This window comes from Homo sapiens, chromosome 10, assembly GCF_000001405.40.
Source record: "Homo sapiens chromosome 10, GRCh38.p14 Primary Assembly".
NCBI lineage: Eukaryota > Metazoa > Chordata > Mammalia > Primates > Hominidae > Homo > Homo sapiens.
In genome coordinates this window covers 118,994,577-119,012,085 of record NC_000010.11, presented here as the reverse complement: position 1 = coordinate 119,012,085, position 17,509 = coordinate 118,994,577, and the positions used below count along the sequence as shown (strand labels likewise).

Sequence of the window (17,509 nt, the reverse complement as noted above, 5' to 3'; positions counted from 1 at the left end):
TTTGTGTAGAGATGGGGTTTTACCACATTGCCCAGGCTGGGCTCAAACAACCCACCAGCCTCCACCTCCCAAAGTGCTGGGACTACAGGCATGAGCCATCATGCCCAGCCAAATCCCTTAATAATAATAATAATAATAATAATAATTATTATTATTATTATTATTATTTTTTGAGACGGAGTCTTGCTCTGTTGCCCAAGGTGGAGTGCAGTGGTGCGATCTCGGCTCACTGCAAGCTCCACCTCCCGGGTTCACGCCATTCTCCTACCTCAGCCTCCCGAGTAGCTGGGACTACAGGCGCCCGCCATCACGCCTGGCTAATTTTTTGTATTTTTAGTAGAGATGGGGTTTCACCGTGTTAGCCAGGATGGTCTCGATCTCCTGACCTCATGGTCTGCCCGCCTCGGCCTCCCAAAGTGCTGGGATTACAGGTGTGAGCCACCACGCCCAGCCATCCCTTTATTATCACGGATATTGCTGATGACATTTCACAGCTGACTGGGCTCTGCAGTTGAGAATTACTGAGAATCGCTGCTCCAGGCTCGAATCCATCACCTTCGGTGATGTTTGTTTGGGCTTCTCCATCCAGGCAGACACTAGTCACCACTTAGGGTGGGTTTGAGGAGTTTCATCCTTCCTTTTGGTGTTGGTGGGAGATTATCAGGGAAGTGGAGCTCAGGGACCCCCAGCGAGGACCCTTGCATCTTTGTGAGGTCGAGCATGGTGTGGTGGGAGGAGGGAGTCCAGGAAAACCATCAGGATGTGCTGATGATAAGCACTGGGGAATTCTCAGTGTGAAAGGAGAAACACTGAACATGGCTTGGCTTGTGGAGAGGAGATGCTGTTTGGCGTCCTTCTGAGATCTGCTCACCCTTTATGCCTAACGGCCTTGCTGGACCACAGCATGGATGCTTACGAGTTACTGTGTGTCAAATTTAGGCTCACTTTTGCCTAAACTTGTGTATTTCCTGGGGTGGTAATTTGACCTTTTCATCTGTTGACAAGCTTAAAAAGTTGCAGGAACTTTGCCCTCATGGTGGGCATCTCATGATCATAATGAAGTTATAAATTAAAGTCAAAATTAAGAAGTTAAACTCCACACATACACACAACCTAATAGGAAATACATGTAAATATTTACCTCATCTCTGAATTAGGAGGGCCTTTCAAAGCATTTAGATGATGGCTGATATCCCAAAGGGAAAAGTATCTGACAATATGAAAAAAAAAAAAAAAAAAAGTGGGTGGGTGTGGTGGCTTACACCTGTAATCCCAGCACTTTGAGAGGCCGAAGCGAGGGGATTGCTTGAGTCATGAGTTTGAGACCAGCCTGGGCAACATAGTAAAACCTTGTGTCTACTAAAAATGCAAAAGACAAATAACCCAAAAACCACCACCAACAACAACAAAAAAAACCTAAATAAAAGGTATAAAACATTAACAACAAAATGCTAAAAAGCAACAACAAACAACTATTTATGGCAAACATTTTCCCCTAACAAATATGCATGGCAAATATTTTCCAAAATATATTTGTCATATATACAAGAACACAGGGTTACTAGCTTTAATGTTGATATTGCTATGTACATAAAACACAAACTGATTAGAAAATTATTAACACAAAAATAGAAAAGTGGGCAAAAAATGTGAACAAATGATCATAGATAAAATAAAAATGATTTGTAAATATACGAGAAAAAGGTTACCTACTGTAATAACCAAAGAAAGGCAAATTAATATACTCTTTTACCTATCAAATGATTTTTAAAAATCTATCAGATTTTGAAGAATTTGATGAAGTGGATACTTTCCTGTACTTACGTTTTTGGAGAGCTATTTAGCATTATCTATTAACAACCTCAAATATTCATTTCCTATTGGATCAATGATTCGACTTCTAGGAATCTAAGGCGATAACCCCGAATGCAGTCAGAAATTCAGTAAAAATAGTTATTGCAGGGTGGTTTTAGCACAGAATTGAAAACAACTTATGCCCACGTAAGAAGTTAAATGATGCTAAAACACATGATAAACTATCACATGGTCAATTAAAGTTAGACTTTCTATTAATTTTTTATTTTTTTTTATTTTTGAAACGGAGTCTCACTCTGTCGCCCAGCCTGGAGTGCAGTGGCACGATGTCAGCTCACTGCAACCTTCGCCTCCTGGGTTCGAGCAGTTCTCTCGCTCAGCCTCCTGAGTAGCTGGGATTACAGGCATCTGCCACCACGCTCGGCTAATTTTTGTACTTTTAGTAGAGACGGGGTTTCACCATCTTTGCCAAGCTGGTCTCGAACTCCTGACCTCGTGATCCACCTGCCTCGGCCTCCCAAAGTGCTGGGATTACAGGTGTGAGCCATCGCGCCTGGCCTCTATTAATTTTTCATGACACAGGTGAATGCTTATGATATACATCTGTAACTATGGTATAATTCCAAAATACTATTGTTATTATTTTAGAGACAGGGTCTTGCTCTTGTTGCCCAGGCTAGAGTACAGTGGCATGATCATAGCTCATTGCAGCCTTAAACTCCTAGGCTCAAGTGATCCTCCTGCTTTGGCCTCCCAAAGTGCTTTGGGAGGCCAAAGCAGGAGGATCACATCGAGCTACTGTGCCTGGCCTAATTCCAAAATATTAACAATGGTTCTCCCTGGACTGTGGGGTTATAGAAGATCCCTGATCTTCCTCCCCAACCCTTCTTCTAGTGTAGTGGTCAAGAGCTAGGCCTTGGGGTCAAACCCAACTCCATCTTCAAAGCCAGTGGAGGCTGGTTGAGTCTTTCTCACTCTTCATCTCTAACACAGACCCTCCTGCCTCCTTGCTTGCTTATAAGGACCCTTGTGATTACATTGGGCTTTCCTGGATAATCCAGGATCATCTCCCTATTTTAAGATCAGCTGGCTAGCAACCTTAATCCAGCTTTAATTCCCCTTTACCATGTAAGGTAACGTACTCACAGGTTTGGATGGCCGTTATTCTGCTTACCACACTAGCTGTGTGACCTGGGGGAAGTCATTTCCCCGAACGTGTTTCTTCATCTGTGACATGGTCTCTCAACCCCAGCACCATTGGCGTTTTGGGTTGGGTCATTCTTGGTTGTGGGCTGTGCTGTGCACTGTAGGATGTTTAGCAGCATCCTTGGCCTTTCTCCATTAGATCCCAGTAGTAACCGCCCTGCCCCCCACAGTGTGGCCACCAAACACATCTTCAGATTTTACCACATGTCCCTTGGAGGCAAAGTCACCCCTGTTTAAGAACGGATCTATGAAGTAGCTATTGTTCTCAACTCCTGCTGTAGTTGTACAGAAGATCAGACAAGATGGTGTATGGAAAAGGTCTAACATAGAGACAGTGCATAGCAAGGTGCCCCCAAATGACATCTCCCTGTATTTCACTTTTCTGAATGCACATACTGTTATAGTCATTAAAACTAAAGTTATGGTCGGGCGCGGTGGCTCACGCCTGTAATCCCAGCATGTTGGGAGGCTGAGGCAGGTGGGTCACTTGAAGTCAGGAGTTTAAGACCAGCCTGGACAACATGGTGAAACCTCATCTCTACTAAAAATACAAAAATTAGCCACACGTGGTGGCGCACGCCTGTAGTCCCAGCTACTCGGGAGGCTGAGGCAGGAAAATTGCTCGAACCCGGTGGGTGGAGGTTGAAGTGAGCCGAGATCACGCCAATGCACTCCAGCCTGGGTAACAGAGTGAAACTCCATTTCAAAAAAGGGAAAAAAGATAAAAACAACCCCAAAATTAAAGTTATTAAAAATCAACTCTTAGTAGTTGGGTGGTAGGCTTGAAGAGTGAATACCGCCAAAGGCAGCCAGGTGTGGTGGTACGTGCCTGTAGTCCTAGCTACTTGGAGGCTGAGGCAGGAGGATCACTTGAGCCTCAGAGTTTGAGGCCATCCTGGGCAACATAATGAGACCTTGTCTCTCTAAAAAAGAAAAAAGAAAAGAAAAGAAAAGAAAAAAATGTCCTCAAAGGCAAAGGGTGCCTTTTCATTGAGAACACTAAAAATAAATTTTAATTATTCAAATAGTGGATTAATTCCTATTATAAAAAATTCAGGCCGGGCATGGTGGCTCACGCCTGTAATCCCAGCATTTTGGGAGGCTGAGGCGGGTGGATCACGAGGTCAGGAGATTGAGACCATCCTGGCTAACATGGTGAAACCCCGTCTCTACTAAAAATACAAAAAATTAGCTGGGCGCAGTGGCAGGTGCCTGTAGTCCCAGCTACTCGGAGGCTGAGGAAGGAGAATGGTGTCAACCCGGGAGGCGGAGCTTGCAGTGAGCCGAGATCGCGCCACTGCACTCCAGACGGGGAGAGAGAGCGAGACTCTGTCTCAAAAAAAAAAAAAAATAATAATAATAATTCAAACATTATAGACAAGGATAATATTTTCCTTTATCTCCTTGACTCCCACTCTCTATCATTACCTCCCCGGAGGTGACCCTGGAGTGTTAGTGTCACGAAGGCAGAGACTTCACTTGTACTTTTTCATCACTTTATCTCCAGAGGCAAGAGTAGTGCCAGGCACACAGTAAAATGAATGGGTTTAGTGAGTATTCTTCAGTTCTTAAAAAAAAAGTTTGCTATATAAATCTCAGCGATTGTTATCATAATCCAGTTCCATATGGTCTGGATATAATAGCCATATTTACTATGCCATATGTTCAAGTTACTTAACCTCACAAAAGCTTAAATGGATAACAATACTACTGCATGGCGTGGTTGTGAGGAATTCCAGGCTTTTTGCCATGCATTTATACATGAACACACGCACATGCATACACACGCACACACACACACACTTTTTAATTTAGTATATCTGTGATTCCATACATTCTGCAGTTTGCTTTTATCATTTACTATGTCCTAGAGTCTTTCCAAGTCAGTATATATACTGCCACCTCATTCTTTTTTCTGCTATGAGGATGAATCATGGTTTACTTAAGAGATGATAACAAACTCTCTGGCCTCTCCTCCCGGGATCTGGCAGGAGCTCAGAAAACGAATCTCTTGCTAAATCTCTGTCTGGTTGAGTAAGGTGCTCTGCAGGCTGGAGGAGCCTGTTGATATTTTAGTTTTCATCAGCTGTGCAAATCTGTGAGTCTTTTTGGTTTGAGTGCGTCAGTCTTGTCTGGAAATCTACACTGGGACTATTTTTAGCCTGTTAGGCCAGGGGATCTGCCGCTCTGTGGTCCAGTTGGTCATCTGCAGGTGCAGTCTCCAGCAAACGATCACAAGCTCTTTAAGATGTGCCTGGGCTTGGGGGGACCTGTCTCGCGGGCTTTTGTGGAACCTTCAATTCCTGGATTGTAAAGCAGGGCTGCAGGTCTCCTGGGATGAGCTCCAGCCAAGAGGTAAGGGACTGGAGGGAGATTCTTGGGTCCTTTCCCAATTCTGCCCAGACTGTCTCTAAGGTGATGCATGGACACTGATGGGACATTTGCAGTCTGGACTCAGCCTCTGCCTCAGCTCCACGGAAGCTGCAAACATTCACACCTCTGTGCCTTTGCACAAGCCTCTTCCTCTGCCAGGAATACCCTTCCCTTCTTTTTTTTGAGACAGAGTCCCACTCTGTTGCCCAGGCTGGAGTGCAGTGGTGCGATCTCAGCTCACTGCAACCTCGCCTCCCAGGTTCAAGTGATTCTCATGCCTCAGGTTCCTGAGTAGCTGGGATTACAGGCACCCTTCCTCCTTTTTGGCCTTCGAGGCTCAGCTCAAGTGTCCCCTTTTCAGGAAAGCTTCCTCCTTTCCCATGCAGCAGAGCTGGTCACTTTGTCCTCCAAGACCCCAGGGACTTTGTACTTGCTACCTCCTGGCCACAAGGCAGGACAGACCGCTGCCACCTGTCTGTTCCCTTCACTGATGGGGGCTTCTGGAAAGAGGGACCCTCAGTGCTCTCCTGGTGCCTGGTACATCATGGGACTTTGCAAATATCTGTTGGGTGACAGAAGCTCAGTGACTGCAGAATAATGTGATGAGTGCCACTGGAGAAGGAGCTGAGATCATGTGATCGGGAAACAAGGGCTGTTTTCAAGGGGCCACGCCTAGCTGGCTCTGCTCAGGATGTGTCTCATCATCCTCAAAGTGGTCTTTACAGGCTGGAAAGAGAAACCCAGTGTCAGAGACATGAATTTAACTCAGCTGAAGTCTCTCTCAAATTTCTAGAAAAAGATTAGCGGAAGATGCTAATTATTACACTGGTGCAAAAGTAATTGCGGTTTTTGCCATTACTTTTCTTGGCAAAAACCGCAATTACTTGTGCACCAACCTAATATTTCAGTGATAGTAGTTATGCATGTATCTAAAAGACAAAGCACCTTGAAGCACTCTCTGTGTTGAAAGTCATGTTGGATGAACAGAATAATGGTCCCCTTTCTACGAATCTGACCCTCAGAAGCCCAGCCATCTAGGAAGAGGCTGAGAAGTTGGGCGTGAGTAAAAGGCTTTGGGTAACTCTCTCCGTGTTCTACTGAGTAGTTTTGCTATACAGGAGAGTCAGCTCCTTTCTAGGAACCCATTAAATCTTTACATACATTTGTAACATTTTCTTTGATGACTCATGGTCAGCTCAGGCCATTGAGTTGGTGGTGATAGAGGAGGTGGTGTTAGACATACACTCGGCTACTTCTACGGATAGTACTGTGGGATGGCAGAGTGTAGTAATTTGGTAATGTCAATTCTGAGTTATTGGGAACATGTTAAATTTCATTTACTCTGTTTAAAAAGGCAGGAAGTGCCTAATACATTTAGTTTAGAAAATGATTAGCACACCTGACTGGGCGCGGTGGCTCATGCCTATAATCCTAGCACTTTGGGAGGCCAAGGTGGGCGGATCACCTGAGACCAGGAGTTTGAGACCAGCCTGGCCAACATGGCGAAACCCCGTCTCTACTAAAAATACAAAAATTAGCCAGGCATGGTGGCATACGCCTGTAGTCCCAGCTACTTGGGAGGCTGAGACATGAGAATTGCTTGAGCCTGGGAGGCAGAGGTTGCAGTGAGCCAAGATTGTGCCACTGCAATCCAGCCTGGGTGACAGAGTAAGACTCTGTTAAAAAAAAAAAAAAAGAAAAAAAAAAGAAAAGAAAATGACGAGCACACTAGTTGGTGTTTTGGGTGTCTATGATGTGGTTACATTCACTTAGGTGGTATCTCTCCTTTCTCAGCACCACTAGGTAAATAATAAAAACAGTGGGTAGCCAGGCATCGGTGGTGCATGCCTGTAGTCCCAGCTTCTTGGGAGGCTTACATGGGAGGATCACTTGAGCCCAGGAGTTGGAGACCAGCATAACATAGCAAGATCCTGTTTCTTTTCCTTTTTTGGGGGTCAGGGGGACAGAGTCTTCCTCTGTTGCCCACACTGGAGTGCAATGGCACCATCTCAGCTCACTGCAACCTCTGCCTCCTGGGTTCATGCAATTCTCCTGCCTCAGCCTCCCAAGTAGCTGGGATTACAGATGTGCGCCACCACACCCAGCTAATTTTTGTATTTTTAATAGAGACGGGGTTTCACCATGTTGGCCAGGCTGGTCTCAAATTCCCGACCTCAAGTGATCCACCCGCCTCGGCTTCCCAAAGTGCTGGGATTACAGGTGTGAGCCACCACACCTGGCCTAGCAAGACCCTGTTTCAAAAACAGCAAACAAAAAACCCATAAGTAACCCACCTAGCAGTGTGCTAAGAGCTCTCCTCTGGCTCCTCATTTAAATTCCAGTTATCCAGGGAGGAAGGTATCATGAGTAATCCCATTTTATAGATGTGGAGGCTGAGGCTAAGACAGGGAATGCAACACACCCAGGGTCACACAGCCAGCAAGAACTTGATGGGAATTGGAACCCAGGCTAGCAGATTCCAAAGCTGGTGCCCTTCACCCATCAGCTCTCTTGACTGCTAAGGTTTTCCTCTCTTGTTTCTGCAGACTGCAGCCTGGTGGGTGTGTCTGCAGCCTGGGGTGTGTCTGCAGCCTGGTGGGTGTCTCCAGCTGTCCTTTAACTTCTCCATTTCCCTCAGTTCCCTGGGAAGGTTCAGGGTGGTGGGCTTGCCTTTCAGGATGCCTTTCATCGTCAGGGCCCCTGTGTCCACTGCTGTGACATTTGGTGAGGAACAGCTCCCTTCCTGGAGCCAAAGAGCATTCATTGTCTGGCCACAGGAAAAGCACGCCACATGTCCCCTGACGACCTGAAGATGAATCCTGACTGCCTGGACATGCCTGGGCGGGTGTACCCATGGCCTGTGGTTGAACCAGCCACACCTTGTCTCTTGGCCAGAGGTAATGTCCAGGCTCATCTCTCTGTGTAGTAACTGGACCCAGCTGGAGGGTGGGAGGTGATAGCTCCTGGGAAGTCCGGTCCGGGGTCCTGGCCAGGGAGTCACAGTGGCTGCTCTGCAGGCTGCCCTGAGGCTGAGGGCTGTGAGTCCTGGGATCTGCTGGGGAAGTCCAAGGCATATCGCACCAGCTGCCCCTAGCTGCTGCCTGCAGCTGGAGGCCACAGGCCCCCCATGTTGAAGAAGTGTCACCTTCAAAGGGAGGTCACCATGCAGCAGCATCATGGCTGGAAAGGACCAGAGTGAGTGAGAGCCAGCATCGCTGTTTCTGATCCACCAGTGACCTGCTACACAGAAATGGCAAGTTATTTCTCTCCTCTGGATCTCAGATTTCTCACCCTTAAATAAAAGGGCACGCAGTGGCATGGAACCACGCTGACACCTATCACTGTTAAACGAGGCCAGGACACAGTCTGATCTCCATCTCCACTTTTTGTTGTTGTTAAATGAAACGGTACGTATCTTTGCTTCTATATATTTTGTGTAAAAAATATGGGGATATATAAGAAAATGTATGTAAAAGTGTAGAAGGATATATATGAAATTGCTAACAGTGGTCTTCTCCAGGTGGTAGAATTATGGGTAGCTTTTTTGCATAGTTATAGGTCTACTTTTTTTTTTTTTTTTTTTGAGATGGAGTCTCACTCTGTCACTCAGGCTAGAGTGCAGTAGCGCGATCTCAGCTCACTGCAACCTCCACCTCCCAGGTTCAAGTGATTCTCCTGCCTCAGCCTCCAAAGTAGCTGGGATTACAGGCACGTGCCGCCACACCCAGCTAATTTTTGTATTTTTAGTAGAGATGCGGTTTCACCATGTTGACCAGGCCGGTCTCAAACTCCTGACCTCAGGTGATCCACCTGCCTTGGCCTCCCAAAGTGCTGGGATTACAGGCGTGAGCCACCGTGCCCGGCCTGTTTACTTATTTTTTTAAAATACAAAAAATTTGAAAGCAGGATGTTGGGTTCTAAATCCTGAGCTCTGTCTTATCCTTGCTGCTGCCTTCACCCTGAAAGCCCGGCAATGACTGCCTCCTTTGCCTCTAGAGACTGCAGCCAGCTCACCTCAGGCACTGGGTTCTCCTGCCAGAATGGTCTCAGTAGCTGCACCTGCCGGTTTGGCCTCCTTCTTCCTAATGATTGCAGCATTGCACACCTGAACATGCTTTCAGCTAGGATTTGGTGGTGCCAATCTCCATTTTTAAATAGACTAACTAGAAGTCAGTATGCTATCTGCTTCCTCATCTGTCATCATTGCACCCTGCCCCACCCCCAGAATCAAGTGGCAGACAGGCCAGGAGGGGTGAGAGGTGGAGCAGACGTGGCCCGGGAGTGGGGCTCTGTGGCTCGCTCTGCTTGCTTCTCCCTCTCCAGCCATTCTCTAGGATCACTCCTGTCCCATGCGTGTTTGCTCTGCCTCCTCACTGTCCCCTAGTAGATTGCGTTGAGCCATTGAGGCCAGCTCACGTGCCATCTCAAGCCTTCAGTGGTTGAAGCAGCCTTCGTGTATTCCTTCTCTGGGTCTGTCTGCACAACGCCTCCCTCATGCCCCAGGCTCCTGGTAGGGTTGTTGGTCACAGCTCTGCTCCTGCCACAGGTGGGCAGATGATACAGACTGATCAGTTTGAATATCCTGTCTCCCTGGTCACAAAGATTGGTTCAGGCATGGGCATGTGACAAGTCAGACCCTTTCCTGGGAGTGGTGTTATGAGAGAGACAGATGATCATTTTGCTGTCACTACTCATGTGGGATATGATGAGTCTGTGACTGCAGTGGTCATCTTTCCCCCACAGGAAGAGCATCTCCCTGCAGAAGTAAACCACGCACAGAGCCCTAATGACATCATTGCTTCAGCCCCTGGATCCAGCCAGGCCTGAAGCAGGATAACCCTGGACTTCCCAGTGAGGTGAGCCAGTAAGTGTCCTGTTTGTTTGAGCTGATTTGATTTGGGATTCTGTTCCTTGAATCTGAAGGAGACTTGAGTGGCACAACTTCCTTGACTCCCCACAGTCCTCTTCTGCTCGAGTTAGTAACTCATGCATCTACTTCCATGCGACACTGTTGCTCCTTACTGCCGCCTTCCTCAGCAGGACTCCCTGCCCCTCTTCGGGCCCACAGCTCTGATGCCATAGGTGGTAGTTAGTGAAGGGTGACTGAGTGAACCAGAGGAGATGTGTGTGGATATAGCCACCTCGAGACTCTTTCTGTAGCTGCTGACACTTCTGCTTAAGGACAGGCTGGGTCTTAACTTACCTGCAAGGAGGCTTTTTAAAAAAAAACAAACAGGCTGGGTGTGGTGGCTCACACCTGTAATCCCAGCCCTTTGGGAGGCCAAGACGGGCGGATCACCTGAGGTCAGGAGACCAGCCTGGACAACATGGTGAAAACCTGTCTCTACTAAAAATACAGAAATCAGCTGAGCATCATGGCGCACCCCTGTAATCCCAGCTACTTGTGAGGCTGAGGCAGGAGAATTGCTTGAATCCAGGAGGTGGAGATTGCGCCACTGCACTTCAGCCTGAGCGACAGGGCGAGACTCTGTCTCAAAAACAAACAAAAAAACAACCCTACCCCCCAAAGCAAACACACACACACACACACACACACACACACACACACACACACACACACACATCTAGCACTGCCGGCCAGCATTCCAACTTTAGAAACTTGGCTGGGCTTGAGCAGTGCCTTGAAGATCGGCTTCTGACACCTGCCGCGGCTTAGAGCACAGACAAAGCAGATTCTGGATGAATGAGAAAGCCCCAAGCCATAGCACTGACACCTGTTGGCATTCAGGGCATGTCTTGGCCTCCTGGAGGGCAGCCAGGAGCCGGCCAGGAGGTCCGAAGCAGGTCTGCTGGTAGAAATGGGGCAGTGTCATGGACAGGTTTGTTTGGAAAGGAATCTTGACCTTGCACAACTTCAGCTCCTGAGGAAAAGTTCAGATTTATTTAGTGTGATGCAATCCCAGGACACAGGCACTGTTTTCAGTGTAGCTGCAAGAATAAAAGTTATGATTTGATTTTTTTTTTTTTAAGACGGAGTCTCACTCTGTCGCCAGGCTGGAGTGCAGTGGCGTAATCTTGGCTCACTGCAACCTCTGCCTCCTGGATTCAAGCGATTTTCCTGCCCCAGCCTCCCAAGTAGCTGGGACTACAGGTGCTCGCCACCACGCCCAGCTAATATTTGTATTTTTAGTAGAGACAGGGTTTCACCATATTGGCCAAGCTGGTCTTGAACTCCTGATCTTGTGATCCACCTGCCTTGGCCTCCCAAAGTGCTGTGATTACAGGCGTGAGCCGCCACACCCGGCCATGATGGGTTTTTTTTAAGAAAATGGAATCAAATGATCAACATGTTTCGAGGTCTGCAACTTGTAGAAAGCTTGGTGGACAGTCGAGGAAATGTTTCCTTTAATAAATTAGAAAGTGTTTGCTTTTTTCCTCTAGCTAATCTTTCATAATAAATTTGATCATAGTAGGGCAGGATTAAAAAAAGTAATTCTTCCCTGAAACTTTACATCTGCTGGTCTTAAATTGTCAGAAAAGTACTTTAATAAATATGAAATTGATGACGGTAAAATGTTAATTCTACAGTTTGCTTATATTTTATTTGGATTTGTGGAAGTCACCCTCTCTTCCTTATATTGGCCTCCAAGTAAATAACCATGATTGTGAATTAGGTATTCAGTAAGCCCACATATGCTAGTTTTTAGCAGAAGTATGGCCAGTAGGGAAAGCAAATCCATATCTAAAGGTTCTATTCCAATTAGAAAATGTTTGCTCCTCCCATGATTGAAATGATACAATGTCATCAACTTGCCACTGGATCACTGGCTGGTTCCCCTGGGGAATGGTGACATATCTGTAGCCAGGTGGCCCTAAGGAATGGAAGAACATGTTCTACATGAGCCCATGTAGAGCCTCTATCCATGATGCCATGGCCACATTGCTTGGTGTTGGTTCAGAGTCAGTGTTTAGTAATCCCTCAAAAGTCTAGTTATTTCCTCTTCTCCAATGCATAGTAACCCGGCCGATGGTTGCAGGTCGCGTTGGGAAGGCTATATTGGAACGTAGCTGAGCTCTTTCTCAAGGGGACAGGGTAGATTGTATTATCCAAACATGGCTGCATTAAATGTAGCCCATCTCACATGTTCTAGTTATGTGTGATGTTGAGACTCCTCCATTGAGATATGGGGTCTACGTCTCTTTATTGAAATATGAGCTGTCAGTTCTAAAAAACAGAACTTAGAAGAAGTGATGCTGCTTAGAATCTGAAACTAGGCACTAAAAGGTGATTTAGATTTAGTTTGCATCTGGTTCTCTCTCTCTCTCTCTTTCCCTCTCTCCCTCTCCCCATTGTGCCTTGGGAATCCTGAGCCAACATATAAGAAGTCTGGCTATGCTGAAGCTGCCATCCTGGACAGACCACAAGTGAAGGCCACATAAAGACAGAGAGGGGTAGTGGAGGGGTCCCAGCTATTCTAGTCCCCAGCTCTTTGAGTCCTTTAAGCTTCAACCACCAGACATCTGGATGAGCCTTCAGATGATTCTGGCCCCCAGCCTGAGTTGTTCCAGCTGAGGCCAAGTAGCACAGAGATGACTTGTTCCCATGAAGCCCTGCCCCAAATGCGGATTTATAAGCAGAAAAAATGGTGTTGTTTTAAGCCACTAAATTCTGTTGTAGTTTGTTACACTGCATTATTTATAGAGGCTTTGGGCCTGTGGACTAGCTCAAGTCTGGGAATGGTCAATGTCGGTTCAGAGCCAGTGTTTAATAATTTCTAAAAAGTCTAGTTATTTCCTCTTCTCCAATGCACAGTAACCTGGCCAATGGCTGCAGGTCATGTTGGGAAAGGTATATTGGTAGTATAGCTGAGTTCCTTCTCAAGGGGCAGGGTAGATTGTATTATCCAAACATGGCTACATTAAATGGAATCCATTTCACATGCTCTAGTTGTGATGTGATATTGAGAATCCTTCATCAAGACTCTTTGACTTTGACTACTGTGCTAATTCAAGTCAAACTTCTGATCTAGAGCTTTTCTGTTTATATAAACCTAGTGAGTAGCAGGTTGCCCATTTCTTTCAGTTCTAGGGAGACCATGATCTTTCAGCCTATGACATAGATGTAGTCTTGTCCAACCATTAACACTTCGGTTCTGTTGCTCATTATGGAAACCATGCCAGCCTGGCCTCTGGTGGCTCCGTGCCATCCCTGGGCTTCTGCTTCCCTGGGATTTCATTTTTCCTATTGAATTCAGGGAACCCAGTTTGACACCATTATCATTTCTGGTCTACTGAAAATAAGCACGTGGAGATCTTCAGGGGTGTGGTGTAAACCCACCAAAGTATTTCTCAAAGCCTGGGTGAAGGGAGCGGCCTCTGGATGCTTCCGGGGGACATAGTTGGAGGGCAGGTGAGAAGTCTCCCACAGTAAACTCACTCCAGTATTCCAATACCCTGAGCCTTTGGATATAGTCCTCTAGGGTACAACAAGGAAGTTTTATCACCTCAACCTCATTTGCTATAGACACATTTGGGTCTGTGATTTAAGATCCAAGAACCAAGCCAATAAGAACTGGAAGCCTTCTGTCTATGACACCTTTCAGTATAGAGTCTGAGTTAAGGTCTGTGATAGAGAACTTCCTACGTTGAGATATTAATGTAAAATATAGGCCCTCTTGGGCCCTTTGCAGAAGCGAATAGAAGACTGTCAACAGTAATTCTTTCACAGTTCAGGGCCCATGGGACTGCTGAAGATGAGCTCAGAGTCTAGAATCATAAGGGACATGAAGAATCACCGGGAGGAAGAGATCAGACGTAGGACAAGGATTCTAAGAACCTGGGGCCATTTGAATTTACTAAAGAGAGAGAGAGAAAAAAAAAAAAAAAAGGAAAAGAAACAATAAGGAAAAAACAGGGTACCATAATAAAAGAAAAAACAGATTTGTAAAAGAACCAAATTTAATTTCTAGAAAATACAGTCATTGAAATGAAGCCATTCATCCTTCTGTAAGAGATAGCTTAAAACAAGGAAATGAAGACACTCAGTAGATAGGTTAAATAGCAGGTTAGACACCAGGAGAAAATCAGTGATGAGATTCTCCCAAATGCAATACATAATGATAAAAAGGAGACTATAAAAGAGAGGTTAAGAGATATAGAAGATAGGGTGAGAAAGTCCAACATGCATCTAATAGGTATTCTAGGAAGCACAGCATGGAGCAACTCAGGGAGAAGTAATATTTTATTTATTTTTTGAGACAGAGTCTTGCTCTGTTGCCTAGGCTGGAGTGCAGTGGTGTGATATCAGCTCACTGCAACCTCTGCCTCCCGGGTTCAAGCGATTCTCCTGCCTCAGCCTCCCAAGTAGTGGGATTAACAGGCATGCACCACCACACCTGGCTAAATTTTGTATTTTTAATAGAGACGGGGTTTCACCATGTTGGCCAGGCTGGTCTCGAACTCCTGACATCAAGTGATCTGCCCACCTCAGTCTCTCAAAGTGCTGGGATTATAGGCGTGAGCCACTGTGCCAGGCAGAGAAGTAATATTTAAAGAGATCATGGCTGAGAGTTTTCTAGAATTGATGAAAGATACGAATCTTCATATTAAAAGTGGAGAAAAGAGAGTGTTTTACCCCTGAAAGTAAAAACAAGTAAATCTACACTTATATACAAGGAGTAAAATTGCAGAAAACCGGAAACAACGATGAATCTTAAAAGCAACCAGACATAAATGAATTACCTACAAAATAACAGTGATTTGGCTCACAGCAGACTTAGTAACAATAGAGGCCAGAAGACAATGGAACGATATAATAAAGATGCCACTGCAAATAATTGTTAATCAAAAATTCTGTAGCCAGCTACCAGTGAGGGTGAAAAAAAGACATGTTCAGACAAAGTCCAAGAGACTCTAGCACTCACAGATCCTTGCTGAAAGCATCACTAAAGGATGCATTCCATTAAGATATAATTTAAGCCTAGAAGGAAAAAATAGGACGTAAGAAGTAACTGTGAGACAATAATTTGGTAATTAAATCTAAATAAGCACGGAGTGTATAAAAAACAGTGGTTAAATAGCAACCAGTTTTGGGGATTCAAAAGTGCTAGACCACAACAACTTGGAAAATGGTGGTGAGATTGGAGGAAAGATCCTAAGGTCTTAGTGTCATCGATGTGACACAATGTGTAATGACACTGTGTAACTTGGAATCTTGTTACATATTTATTAAAATATGATAGAAACTAGCTAAAATCATTTAAGTATTTGAAGTCAGTAGAAAAAGAATCTTCTAAAAAACCCCGAATTTAGGAGAAACAGCTATTGTTGAAAAAAAAAAAACAAACCAACAACAAACCCTGATTAACCAAATAGAAATCAGAAAAGGAGAAAAAAGAAGCAAAGAAAAAGCAAAGTAAAAACAAAACACAAAATAGAATGCTGGAAGGAAATCTGAATTCTTCAGTTATCACAATACACGTAAGTGGATAGTGCTTACCGTTTAAAAAACAGAAATTCTCAGACTGGATTAAAAACACTATCGGTGCACACCTGTGGTCCCAGTTACTTGGGAGGCTGAGGCGGGAGAATGCCTTGAGCTCAGGAAATCAAGGCTGCAGTGAGATGTGATCATGCTGCTCCACTCCAGCCTTGGCGACAGTGAGACCCTGTCTCAAAAAACAAACAAAACTAACAAACAGCCCCAAACACCAGCCCTACCAACACTAACAACACCACCCCCACCCCCGACTCGAATCCGGCTTTGTGCTATTAACAGTGGCACACCTGGAAGACAAGGGCACTGAAAGTTTGAAAGAAACAGAAAGCGTATACCCAACAACTTCTGACCGAAAGAAAGCTAGTGTTGGCCGGGCGCGGTGGCTCACACTTGTAATCCCAGCACTTTGGGAGGCCAAGGCAGGTGGATCACAAGGCGAGGAGTTCAAGACCAGCCTGGCCAAGATGGTGAAACCTTGTCTCTACTAAAAATACAAAAAAATTAGCCGGGCGTGGTGACAGGTGCCTGTGATTCTAGCTACTCGGGAGGCTGAGGCAGAGAATTGCTTGAACTCGGGAGGTGGAGGTTGCAGTGAGCTGAGATCCCACCACTGCACTCCAGCCTGGGCAACAGAGTGAGACTCTGCCTTAAAAAACAAAAAAAAGGAAAGCCAGTGTAGCAATATTATCATCAGACACATTGCATGAGAAAGAGGCCTTACATCATGTAAAAGGAACAATTCACCAGGAAGATACACCTGGACTTGGATCTCTCCCCGCATTTGTTTCAAATATTTATAGGAAATAGACAATTAGAAGAAGAAATGGAAAGATTTGCAGTCTTAGTGGGAGATTTTAACATAGTCTTCTGGAAAATGAGAGCTGTAGTAGGGAAACAACTTAGCACAGATACAGAAGTTTTAAAAACCATCTTTATCAATCTCAGTCAGATACATACATAGAGAACCCTAGCCCTGTATTTGTCATTTAAATATATATATTTTTTCAAGTTTATGTGGAAATTTAAAAAAATTGATTATTTACTAGCTCATAGCAGGTCTCAATAAATACCAAAGAACTACTATATACAGACCACAGTCTTAAACCACAATCCAATAAAACTGCAAATCAATCAATAGCAAAAAGCCAAAAAGAAGGATGATTTTGCTCAGTATTTCTCAACCACACTCACATCATGGGCAAGGGCATGGCCCTTCCTGGGCAGGTGAGAGGATCCAAGGTTGTAAAGTGTGTTGTAAGCATGACCCAGCTGGTGTCCTTGAGGCTGGTTGCAGTAGCAGCAGTACCTGGACTGCTGGACAAAGTGGAGATGTCACTTCTGGTCCCTTCTCTTTGGCTTTTGCCTTAACTCCCTGCATACTCCAGAGTCCCTTCTGGATGGAAACCCGTCTTCGGGCTAGGAGCAGCCTCTACCCTGAGTGCTATGGGGATGGCCTGTTTTGACCTTTGCTTGTCTGTGGCCTGGACCCCATCGGGCCTTTTGGGGTGGGTGCTGAGGGAGCATTTCACTCTGTGGTGGCTTTAGGGCAGCTTTGGGTTTGGTCCAATGCTGGACCCCCAGGCAGAGGAAGAGAGGCAGTGTGTCATGTGGAGAATGGTCTGAGATTCAAGCAACCTGAGTTCTGGTCTCAGCCCC

General features: G+C 45.5%; 1 long non-coding RNA gene across 3 annotated transcripts in view; it reads left to right on the top strand.

Annotated features, from left to right (window-relative positions):
• The window catches only part of LINC03036 (long intergenic non-protein coding RNA 3036), a 245,028-nt gene that overhangs the window by 17,486 nt on the left and 210,033 nt on the right, over positions 1-17,509 (top strand). The window contains exons 3-4 of one of the 3 annotated variants that reach the window (NR_186542.1): positions 8,677-8,801; positions 10,138-10,250. The exons of the other annotated variants lie outside the window; for them this stretch is intronic. This is a non-coding gene — a long non-coding RNA (long intergenic non-protein coding RNA 3036). The remainder of the gene's footprint in view (positions 1-8,676; positions 8,802-10,137; positions 10,251-17,509) is intronic. 3 annotated transcript variants of the gene reach the window in all.